The sequence below is a fragment of the Homo sapiens genome, chromosome 3 (assembly GCF_000001405.40).
Source record: "Homo sapiens chromosome 3, GRCh38.p14 Primary Assembly".
NCBI lineage: Eukaryota > Metazoa > Chordata > Mammalia > Primates > Hominidae > Homo > Homo sapiens.
In genome coordinates, this window is record NC_000003.12 from 135079108 (window position 1) to 135091975 (window position 12868).

Sequence of the window (12868 nt, forward strand, 5' to 3'; positions counted from 1 at the left end):
AACAAGCAAAAACCCCCAAAAACCAAAGAAACACTAAACAGTTACCCATGATCGCATCTTCTCAGAGGATTAATGCCTCTCTTGGGCTTAGACAGTAATAACCCAGAAGGCTAGAATGAGTTGATCATGGGGCGTTGAGTCTACAGAGTGATGGTGACATATTTCTGGGCCTATGCCTACATCCAAATGGATAACCATGCCTGCATTCAGTGGGTGCCATATGAGGAGACTTCTGCCTTCATTCAAACAAAATATATGCCCGTTTATCCAATTGAGGCCCATACCCTTCCTCAAAAAGGGGCTCATGCCTCAATTTAAATGGAGCCCATGCCTCCATCCAACTGGTTCTTGTAGAGACTTCTGCCTGCTGTTGCTGCCACAGATCCCCTGACCCCATCAGTGCAAACACTCTGAAAGGCTCTGCTCTAAAACCTGGTTTGGGAGTAGGCCTCCATAAGCACGTCACCTCCTTGAGCCCAACCATCATCACATAGTGGAGTCCTGCCGTCCTGAGCTCCCTCGTGGCAGCTCTCCTTCTCTTTCTCTTCAGCTTGATTGTTATTCCAAAGGCCTCGTTATGGAAATTACAAAATAATGGTTCTGCAATTTGTGAGTGTGTGGTTGTATGTATGCTAATTATCATTCCTGGGTACCCTGTCTCAGAGGCACTGCAGAGGAATCCAGAGACGTGGCTCTCTCTTCACTGTAGCTTTGCTGTTCTCCCCTTCCCTGCCTCCCTTCACCCCAGCTATCTCCATTCTCTAATGCATGGGGGCAACTGGAGTGTTGAGTAGACATGGCCATCCCAAGTCCATTTTCTGTGTCCAGCGGGGTACCTGGAACTTAGGAGTGCCCCTGGCTGGACGAAGAGGTGTGACAGTGCATCTCTGTAGCAAGTGCACTGTTTTAACAGAGATCCTGTTTGTTTGAGGTGGCTTTAGTCAATAATGAGGGATGGGCTAATGTTCCACACTTCTTGGGATTGTCACTGTAGCAACGCTGCCTCCCTGGCCTGCGCACTTCTCCCTAGCTGTTACTTGTAAGATTGGGAAAGGGAGAAAGGGGAGAGAGGAATCTCCTGGGGAAGCGAGGTATTCCTGCAAAGCCTGGTCCAGGTGTGATGCACTCTGCAGGGCAAAATCATGGGCTCAGAATGAGGCTTCACAGAGGAGGTAGAGTGTGCCCAAGGGCAAGATTTCAGAAGGGAAAAAGTAGGGCCAGAGAGAAGGGGGAGGGGTGCAGGAGGAGAAATTCTGCCCCAAACCAAAACTCTTATGGTTAAGGACAAGGTTAATCAGATTCTTTTGAAAGGGAATTGTTTCTGGGGTAAGTGAAACCTTCTTAATGATAAAGGGTGAATTGCTCCAGTCAGATTACCCCTGGGGACACTTGGGGGTGGGGCAAAGGTAGCATCGTCAGAGGTCCAAGATTGAATAGTCTGAGGAGAGAGTGGTCCTGGAGGAGAGGGGGGACAGCAGGTGTGAGAGGGGTTCAGAGACTGGGGTGGTGGCAGTGGGACAATTTGACATCTTTAGGATTTGAGTGCTGTTGAGAATGGGTGGAAGTCATGGCAGGAAGCTTCAAAACACACCTTCCCTGTACTTTGATCAGGCTTGGGTGAGCTACTTAACCTCTCTGTAGCTTGGGTCCTGCATCTGTGAAATGGTATAATAATAGCACCTACCTCATAGTCTAGTGGGAGAATCCAACATGACAATATGGCTAAGCCCTTAGCGCAGTGCCCACCCAGAGCAAGTCCTTGCCCATGATGATTATTCACTGTTATTATTGTGCACTGCTATTGTGTTGTTTTGAGAGTTGAGTGATATAATTCCTGTACAGCCTCTAGCACAGTGCTTGGAACTTAACCACTGAATATTCACCACTGCCTGTTGCTTTTACATTCAGCCTCTTCCAGTTCAGACAGGCATCCTCTATTGCAAATCTCCATCCTATCTCCATCTAGAGACACGAGGAGAATCAGGTGAAGGAGGGGAGGGGAGGTGGAAGAAGGAGGAGGTTAGCTCAGGGTTCTACCTTACCTTCTCCTCTATCATCACCAGAGCATGTGGAGTCTTTGAGGAATTTCATAGTCTTGGTACCTTTGAATATGTTCCTCACAAGTTCTCAGAATGTGTGGCTTAAGTCTTTGGGGATAATTATTTTAAGCTACTTTAGAAAAAAAACCTGTGTATTAACCATATGTATGGAGGGTGGAGGGTGTTTATGTAAAAATATTCCAGGGTTTTCGAGTAGAATCAGATTTGCTAAAGGGGCTTACAAAACTCTCACGAGGATGGAGAGACAAAGGTTAGCATAGGCCACTGAGGACTTTTAGGTTGGCCACTAATTATTAGGGAGCCAGTAGCCAGAAGACCCTGGCAGGGATGGTCACTGCTTCTAGTGCTGAGGCAAGTAGTACATAGAAAAAACCTGGAGGTTACTGCAAAATGTCATGTCTGCCAAAACCCATGGGCTGCTCGCCACTGCTGCCCAAGGAGCTTCTGCTCTCTTCACCTCCTGTGTCTGGTAGGAGTGCTTCTTATTGGTGGACTGTAACCCAGACCCCTAGAGGCTGGTGTTCTGGGAAATATGGCTTACATGTTTCCAGCCCCTCTGAGCCTGAGAGGAGTATAATGGGGCTGATTTGCCAGCGGACAATCCACTCATGTGGATGTGACCCCTTCAATACCTAAATGGCAATGATCATGGATGCAGAGTCAGGGCCAACATCAGGAGAGCAAGAGGGCACAGAATGCTCACCAATTTGCTGTGGGCAGAAAACACAGAGCTGCATAACTTCTGCAGGGAAAGAGGAGAAGAAGAGGAGGAGGGCTGTGTATGCTTCCCTGTGAGGCAGATGGAACGGCAGCAGGAGTGGGGAGATCCAAGCAGAAGGCCCAGGCTGGGAGGCATGAAATGCAGGCTCTTCCCAGCATGAGTGATTGGCAGGGTAGGCAGGACTCAGAGGCTTACAGGAAATGTGGCTTGTCCCCAGAGGACCCTAAAACTGGGTCAGGACTGATAGAAGAGACTGGGGAAGCCATGTTCCGTGGGAGAACTGCAGGGGCACCACGGACAGACATGAGAGACAAAGAACCATTGCAGATATACAGTCTTATAATTAACTCAGTTCAACAAGTACTTGAAATAGCCACATGGGCTGGGCAGGACCTTGGACACAGAAGTGTGCAAAGATAAACTGGTTACAGGCTGTGCTCTCAGAAGAGTTTCTTGAGAGACCAAATGATGATGACGATGATAACGATGATGAAGAACTAACTCTTCTGAGTACTTGCCATGCAAATCACTGTACATGCATTATCACATTCCTAATTTACAGATGAGGATCCTGAGACTTAGAGGTTAGTGACTTGCCTGTGGTCACCACATAAGTCTTGAGAGGATCTATACCTGGGCTTCCAGACTCCACATCCTGTAGGGACAGTGCTAAGGGGATTCTGGAAGGAGACATGCCAACTGGAAAATGAGGAATACTTTCATGGATAGGGTGGAATGTGAGCTAAGCTGTAGAGAATAGGACACATTTCAGGTTTAGAGATGGGAGAGAAGGACACCCCAGATAGTGAGATTCATGTGAGCAAAATATTGGAACAGCATAAGTCACATAGTAGGGAAAAGTAAAAAAGAGCTCTTGAAAGTCTCACTTGTCTAGTCCCAAGCTTCCGCTTATTTAATACAAGTCCACGAGTATTGTCTAGGTACTGGCAGGCTGATTCATAGAGTACTGGGGGCAGGGAGCAGTTTTGCAGGGGAGGCAAGCAGGTGAGCAGACAGTCATACCCAGCATGGGACGTTCTGTAGTTGAGGCATGTGGAAGTCAAGAGCTGGCACAAAGCAGGAAGTGCTTCCGTGCGAGGGGCCTGAGCAATTCTGCACGTGGATGGGAACTCCTCAGGCAGCCAGGCAGAGGAAGCCAGAAAGCCATGTCCAGCTGTGTTCACCGGGAGCCAGTCTTCCATTTGCCTGGAATTCTAGATGGTATTTGGGAGGCTGGGACAGGGAGAGACTGGAAAAGTGAGCAGGGCCTGATGACCCCATTGGAGCAGCTGTAGAAAGTCATGTCAGGGCATTGGGCTCCATTGTGAAGGCTGGTGAGCCCTCAGGGTTTTAGACAGGAAAGGGCACTGTCAGATCTGTGTTGTGGGATCTCTGGCAGGTGTACAGAGGAGAAAGCAGCAGGGGGGAAATTAGGGAGCTAGTGACAAGAGGAAGGCCTGGCTGAGGCAGGTACAGAAAGAGGGAGATTTAACAATAGCTCAGAACGTAGAGATGACAGGACCTGGTGACAGTTGGATGTGGGAAGGGAGGGAGGGTTAGGGAAGCAACAGGCTTTGAGACATTTGCCTTAGGCTGTCCACAGGAAAAGTCCAATAGACAGGTTGAAAATACAGAAGAGAGGATGAAGGCATTAGGGCAAGGCTCAGATCCCAGCAGAAATGGCATGAAATGAGACTGAGGGTGAGAGTAAGGGGAGTGTATGGAGGGGGGATTAATTTCTGTCACCAGGAGCACCTTCTCCCAGGCTGAGGAGGTGCAGGTAGGAGAAGGTGGTGATACTCCCACCTGCTGTTCTCCTATTTTTCTAACTGGAGCTTTTAGTTATGTGCGTAGTATGTAGAAGTTAGTGCTACATATGTTAATTGAGGCCTGCATATTAAAAATAATAGAGGCCAAATGAGTCCATTGAATCCTCTGTCCCTCTCACTCCATCCCCAAGCTGCCCAGAAACACAGACTAGTTCTTGAGCCCCTGGTTTACATGAGGCTCCAGTCTCACCCTGGGGCCCCCTCCCTTCCCAGGAGCAGGTGATGATGACAGTTCAGTAGGTGTGTTTGTGGTGGCAGGATGGTGAAATCGCTACTGAGGCAGTGGGTAGAATCTTTGTTGGAGTTGGCTCTCCCTCTGCCTGCCTTTTCAAGAATAGATTTTTTTTCTTTTCTTTAGCTCAGGGATATGCCAAGAAAAATGAAATAAAAGTAAAGGAAAGAAAGACCAAAGTGTGTTTAATTGGAATAGCTTTTTGCCATGTGAAAAAGCGACAGTTTATTGCAAAATATTTATCTTCATTATGGTTGGTATCATTATTGATGGAGATGCCCTGCACGCTAATGGGAAAATCTCTCCAGGAGGCCCAAATCCTGATGAGCTGAGTCTCCACCTTACTTCTGACATGCTGGGTGAGCACATCCTTTAATTTCTGGGTGCCTCAGCTCACCCACCCGTACAGCCTAGAAAAGACAGTGCTCATGGTTAGATTAGCCTCGTGGAGCTGGAAGAAGTCTTTGAGGTCAGGGCATGAGAAGCTCCTTGTGGCAAGGACTGCACCTTGCTGGCTGTTGTGTCATATAGGTCCCTTGCTTAACGGAGGTGTGCGCTGACTGGCTGCGTGATGGATGAATGACAGAGAGCGAGCCTGTGTTAAAGGAATGGCAGATCGATGCATCTAATCTAACCATTCATTTCACAGAGAAGGCAATTGCAGTCCAGAGAAGGTGAGTCACACTCATTTGCTGCAGAGCTGGCTGAGGTTCAGCTCCCTCATTCCCAGGGGCCTCTCCGTGGTTATACCCAGCAGCTCCACGGTCCTTCTATTGTGAGATATTGTAGAACATGAATGAGAATGTACACTTGCAGTTGTTTTTGCTATTCATAATAAAAGAAGCTTACAAAAGTCAAAGTATCACTTATCATGATGGATGTTTGATAGGCCCAGATAAGCAGACGTAGGAGCTGTAATGAACACTAAAATCAAGCCTTGTATGTGTTCACCAATAAACAGCAAAGGTGAGGGAATTACTCTTATTTACCCTCCTTATCCCCATTTCACAGATGAGTTCTTGCTGTGGCTCAGAGAGGCTACAACAGAACTTGCCCGCAACCTCACAGGTAGCAAGGGTTTAGGAACTGATTCTGGAAACTGGGTATTCAGAGTCAGTATTCAGGGTGAATTTCATTGACCCATTGCTGTCTTCTGCAACATTCTGGGCCACTGGCTTTAATAATAATGACCCTTATCTGTGCAGCCACGAGCAGACCTGGCCTAGGGCTCACCTGTGTTCTCCAATGGCTGAGTTAGTTGATTAACACAAAGAGGCAATGAGAGCAACCCTGACTTTGAGGAATTCCTAAAGGGAAGCTAAGCGTGTCTTCCCAAGTGTATTACCTGGTCTCAGAAGTTTATAGCCACACCACATAAACTGGTGCAGTGAGACATTTGGCTGTTCTCTTGGAAGAGACATCAAGAGTCATTTAGAACTCCTGCATGCAGGTTTCTGGTCGGTGTCAACACATGGAAAGCTTCTGGAGGGCTGAAGCCTTTAATGAGTGGTTGCTTCCTTCTCCCAACTGGAATCACCCACCTTGGAGCCCAGGTTTACTGCTCTGAGATTGTAAAGATGCCAAGGAATGGAGACAGCCTGGTTTTTTATTGTGCCTGCCTCAGATGGAATCTGCCTCTCTGGACAAAGATAGCATCACAAATGTTTGATGCGGGTGTCTCTTCTTGTCCTGAGGACCCGGGCCTCTCAGCATTGCCCAGTGTTCCTCAGCACACACAAAGCTCACAGCCATGAGGCAGCTGGGCCTTGCCCTCCTTGCCTCTGTCTTTCCCAGGTGACTGGCATCCCCTGCCACATGTCCATCTCAGCATATTATTAACACCTCCTTCTGTCTCAGACTGCTTCTCTTCCCCCAGGGAGTGCTGTGGGTTTGAAATGATGGTCTTTAATCATTTCTTAAGTGACCAGCCCTGAAATCATTTCTTAGTGCCATACACACAAATTAAATCATAAATCCACAGTGGGCTCTGGAAAGAACTGAAGTGCAGCCCCTGATTAAGAGCTGAGGGGAGGCCTCCCCAGGAGAAAGGCGTCAGTGTGTGCCTAGAGGAAAGGCCAGGGCCCTGGAGAGAAGAAAGAAGCTTCCTACTAACTCCCTTTCCACAGAAGGGCCTCTTTGCATTTCTGTTGTTCTACTCCACACAAAAGAGATATGAGAGGATGCAGACAGATATGTGGGGGGTGGTAGGAGGGCATCCATGTTAGGGTTAGGAAGTCCGGGCAGCCCCTTCCAGGACCGAGCTGCCTTAAGAATCCAGAATCAGCCAGGCCCAACAGGATCCTTAATGACCTCTGACGGTGGGATGGAGGAGGACCAGAAGAGTGAGGAATTGGTAGGCACACCTCAAGAGAAACTCAGAAGTGGGGGTGGGGGAGGGTGTTCCTGAAACATGTCCATGCTCCCTACTTATTTCAAGACTCAGTTCGACATCGTGCCCCACTTCAAGACTTCCCAGCTTATTTGGAACACTCAGTCTCTCTCCTCACAAACACAAAGTCTTCTGCTTGATTAGGTTGGTGATGGGTATATGACAATGACACTAGCAAGCTGCTAAACATCCTTGACTCTTTCCACCACCATGCCTTTATGCATGACATTTTCTCACCCTGGGGTGCCTACCTTCATTTTGCCTACCTAGTAAACTATGAATGCTTCAAAGCCTGCATCAGTTGTCATCTCCACCAGGACCCTCACTCTCCAAACTAATATAGAGAGGAGACTGCCTGTTCTCTCCCCACCCCTCTATATGCTTCTCTTTTCACACTCACATGCTGTTTTATAATTCTCATTTTTAACATTTGGTTCTTCCACTGAGTTTTGTATTCTTTGAGAATGGGGACTCCAGCTTACTCTTCTCTGTAAAGTCAGAGTGGCCAGCTCAGGGCTTGAATTCAAGGAGTGATGTTGCTGAAGCTGTATAGTCAAGTGGTTGGAGCTTCACAGTGAAAGAGCTGTTCTCTATTTTTTGCCTCCAGCATGCTTTGCTTATGTAAGTCACTCAACTTCTGAATTGAGAATCTGAGTTTCTTCTGCAAAATGAGAAAAATAAAACCAGTACCTTTACTATTGCAAAAGCCTACAAAGAAGATAAATCTGAGAGTGGGTTGTTGGGGGAATGTGTCAAAACCCTTTAGCTCCTGAAAAATTCCATTAGAAAGTCAAGGTGTTGGTATTGCAATTATTATTTGATTCCCAAATGGTGAGAGTGCTTCCAGAAATGTGCTTTGCTTGATGAACCGATACATTTTTAGCCCCCACTGATGAATTTGGGAATCGAATACCTGTCATCTTGAAATAATTGACACATCTTGGTGAAGCACTTAGATTCCTCTGATGAAAGTCTGGATTCTTACTGAGAATGAGAAGGAAGCTGTGTTACATGGGAGCAATATTGTTTTATGGACCTTTATCTTAGTTATTAACAAATGAGTGTTACATGTGGAAATGGTAAAGGGGGAATTCAATAATGAAGTTTCATAGGATTATAATGATTATTAGCCTAATGATGATGAAATCCAGGTTTCAATGCATGTGGTTTCCTTGGCATTCACTGTTCTGTGCCCTTTATGCTGATGGGCAGCAGCCTGGCTGCATCTGTCCCTAACATCCCATCCTGAAGTTATATGGGAAGTGGGCATAAGTGTAGTCGGCTCCTCTAGCAAATCTGGATTAGGATATCCATGCACAATAATATAATTATTATTGTAGTAATTGTTATTGCAATTAGTTGCCCATATGTCATGCAAATAGCAAAAAACTTATATTCTAGGGAGCCGACACCCACTAGAGGTAGGAAGAGTTCGCATCAGTGAATGCTCACTGCCTGCCCTGCTGCTGAGCTGCCCAAGGGTCCTGTGGAAAAAGCAGCCAATCTCACCAGCATTTACACTCTATTCATTTTTCTCTGTGCACCAGAAGCCACTGTAAGGATGAATTTGCCTTTCAGAGCAGGTCTCTGTAGAATACCCAGCAGCCACATCCATGCATCACGTTTTTACATCTGGTCAGGAATTCAGGCAGGCAGGAACTCAGAGGGACTGAGAGCCAGCATATGACATAGACCATACTTATTTTTTTTTCTCTTCCTTTAGAGGCAGGAAAAGTAGGACAAGATGCCCTAAGTGAGTAGAAAAGATATTCATCTTGTCCCTTTCCTAAGCCTCTCGTCTGAACTCATGTTGACTTGAACATGTGACTTTTTGAGCCTGAGTACATATGCCCATCGTTACAGAATGTCCCCACCCCCTTAGATAACTTACCATAGTAAATAGCTGGAAAGGGCATCAGCTGTGAAGCCAGACAGACCTGGTGGTGAATTATACCTCCATGACAGAGTAGCTGGGAAATATTGGGCAAATTGTTTTATCTCTGAGCCTCAGTATCACTGTCAGTGAAATGGAAATGCTACTATCTTCTCATATAGTTTCATCGAAAAGAAATGTTACGATTACATTTGTCTGTAAGGAACATAAAAATGAAAGATAATTGTGGGTTTTAAAAATACAGGGTTTTTTTTCTCATGTAAAATAAGTCCGGGTTGGATGGCACTCCATGGTGTGATGTTGGAAACCCAGGTGCATTCTACTTCGTTGCTTTGACATTCTTAGCACACAGTTTTCACCTCATAGTTGAAGATGGCTGCTTGAGTTCCAACCATCATGTCTACTTTTCAGCCAGCAAAAATGAGGAAGGATGGAAGAAGAGCTAACTTTCTCCCAGAAGTCACATAGGATACTACTTCTCCTTGTATCCCTAGATCTTAGTGATTCAAGCCAATACTCATGCATTATCAAAGCTTGATGGGAATGTCCCATATGGTAGGGGAAAATGTTGACTTTGAAAAATAGAAAACATTAGCAAGGTGATGACACATTGTCTATACTCAACATATTATCATTTTATAATAGAAAATATTAACTGCTATTAATACTTTTAATTGAGCAGTTATTTCATGCCAGATATTGTATCAAACATTTATATTTTCTATCTCATTCAATCATCAAAACAACTCTATGAGACAGGGACTAATTTTTACACACGAGGAAACTGAGGCTTAAAAAGGTTGTAGGACTTGCTTTCCATGGCTCTAAGTAGTAGAGTCTGTAACTGAAGCTGGTACTCCTTTCTCCAGGAAGTTATGTTGGCATAGTTGATGTTTAACATAAGTAGTTATACACAATAGTTTTTGTTTATTCTAGGTAAATTTACTTGGTATAAAAATACTCCAGCCAGTAAGCTATCAAGTCTCTGGAGTCAGCAGCCTGCATTCAATTCCCAGGTGTACCACCAGCAGTGGGACTTTGAACAAGCTACTGGACTTATTTGAGCCTTAGTTTTTTAATGTGCAAAATTGGAATAATTGTAGCACTTGTTTCTTGGGGCTGTTGTGAGAATAAAATGGGATTATTCTGAGTAACATACCTGGCCTGTGCCACATGCTTAAATTCTTATTGTTGCTCTTATTAATAAAACAATTGTTATTAATACCAACACAACTTTACAACCAATTTTAACACGTGGTGGGTAGCTTGGCACATAGACCTTGCCTTGGAAGGGTGAAGTGAGACACATCAGGTGCCGAGGGTAGGAGGGCCTGGCCATGCTTCTCATACCAGTCTCTCATTTATTAAGAGGGCTTTGCTGGCCTGACCGTAAAGCCTGAAAGGTGAGAGTGGGCACAGGAGAGCAGGACCCTTCCTGGGCATGAGAGGGAGCAATGTCGTGTTCACCTGTCCAGCTAGGCTCCTGTCATTCCTTCAGCTCTGGGTTCGTGTCCTGCTGTTTGCTTTGGGGAAGTCCTTTCTCAAGTTGCTCAGCAGTGCCTGCTGCTCCTTTGCCCCATTCCTCCCTCTGAGCCTTCCCTGAGTTCCTCACCTGCTGCTCCTTCTCTAGGTTCTTCCTGACGTGCTGAGCCTTCAGTTCAATGGCTTCCCTAAGTGTGCATTGAGATCTAAGTGCTAAGTGTATCCTTAACACCTCTAATCTCTGCTGCAAGCTTCTCCCCTAATTGTGTTTCACTGACAAACCTGAAGGCAGTTGGTGATACTGATGTTCATCCAGGAAACTGAAAATAAGGAGGACATAGTGCACTCTGGAAATTACCTCTCAGCACCTAGGAATAAATGATCTCAGGAGAGAATGTGACTATCCAACCCTTCGCTGCCTCTGTTGCAGTGGGAGGCCTCACCCAGATGATCTGATTTGCAACATCCACTGGTCCATTCACATGATCTCCAGGGATCCAGTGCCTATGGCTGGCTCTGCTCAGGTGCTCAAAAGGAGGGTGTCCTCCCTATTCCAGAACCTGCAAGCCCCACTTCTCTTTCCAAAGTCTGCATCAGAGTTGGTGAGGTCCTGAGCAAAAGTCGCAGGTCAGACAAAATGAATTCTGCCAAATCTCTCTGCCTTCAGCCTTTTGGATAAATCTCATGCATATATTCTGCCTTGTCATAGTAACTCTTACTTGGAGAATCTTTTGGAATGACTATAACCTTATTTCAATATTGGTTATTACTCATGGTTGTTTCACTTTTTAAGAATTGACTCTAGACTTGCAAAGTGCTACATCCACTATCACTGCAATTTAGGAGCTGAGCTCTGACTGAACAAACCCCCCTGGCAACATTGTGGCAGAGCCAGTTAGACCTGACTGATTCCTCCATGACCTTGGACAGGCCACTTTCCTCTAAATAATCTGCTTAGGGAGGTCCATGCCCATGTCTGCAGTGCCACACTGGGCAGACAGGCAAGGACAGGGCAGTGTAGGGGGAAGGGTTTCTGCCCCTTATCTGTCAAGACAGCTCTGATAATTTAGGCTGAGAATTTCAGCCTCAAAGCTTTTGCTCTGCCATTAAAAGAAGTAAAAATTATTTCTTTTGCTTACTTGTCCCACTTGAATGCTGCGTAATATCATTATAGATTTATGTGTTTATGACTTCGTGACCTGGGGAGAAGCTGGAAATTCCACTGAGCCCATTTCTACTCCTGGGTTTCTGTAAAGGTCACAGCAAAATTATTTTATCAAGTACACCACAGAAAGGGAAAATCTTAATCTTAAATTATACATATGCAGCACTTGACCTTCTCTTGAGATGCAGCACCTCTTAGCTACACTTACTTAAACAGAATGCAGCTCTTCCCTGATGCACACAGAGAGAATAATTAGATGCCCTTGCATCCCAGTTGGAGAGGAGGCTGTGCAGTGGGACCAACTACAAAGCTGAGAAGGAGAAAGAGTTGAGGCAGTTGGGATGGGGGTGGGGGTGAGCTCCACAGAGCTGCAGCAGGCTCATGCTTATGATGGGGCCATCTGGGCAGGTGGAGCAGACATTGGCACCATGACTTGTTCTGGTTCACCTGCACCTCTGGCCAAGTCATTGCCTTCTCTGGGCCTCATTTTTGCCATCATAGGTCTGTGATGTGGCAATTCAATCACAGGTAGTTTGTGCCTGGAACATTGTGTTAAAGTCTCAGCACTCTGCTGTGGGTTGAGTGGGAATGAGTGCCGGGATTGATTAGCAATGTCTGCCACGGCAGGCATGGAGAGGTAGTGACAGTATCTGTGCTGGGTATTGGTGGCCCCATTCTAAAAGGTATTTCTAAGGTCTTTTCCAGCCCTGTCTGTCTGTAATTTGTGGGCTCACCAAACTCTGGGGTGAGGAAGCCTGGAAAGGAAGGAACAATAGCAAGCTTCCCTAAGAGAAGAGTTGTATTTGCCTCGTCAGAGTTTGGAGAGTAATGAGATTTGTGTGATACATCTAAACACAGTTGCTTGTGTGTGTGTGTTTCCTATTTGCTCTGTGAAAAGTAGAGAGAGCAAGTGAAAGCAGTGCCTGTCCTCGGTGTGACCACTCAGCAGACCTGGCTGACCTATGTGTGCCCTCGTAGCCAGCCTGTGCGTCTGGGGCTCTGGAAAAAGTGAGAAACTCTGGGTGGCTTCTTGTCATTGTCCAGCCTTTAGATAGAAACACAGTGAGAAGTCATCTTCATTTATCTTAAGAACTTG

The 12868-nt window shown here is 46.0% G+C and overlaps 1 protein-coding gene across 1 annotated transcript in view; it reads left to right on the forward strand.

The window, feature by feature from the left end:
* EPHB1 (EPH receptor B1) overlaps nucleotides 1–12868 on the forward strand; it is a 465208-nt gene that overhangs the window by 283848 nt on the left and 168492 nt on the right. The window lies entirely within an intron of this gene.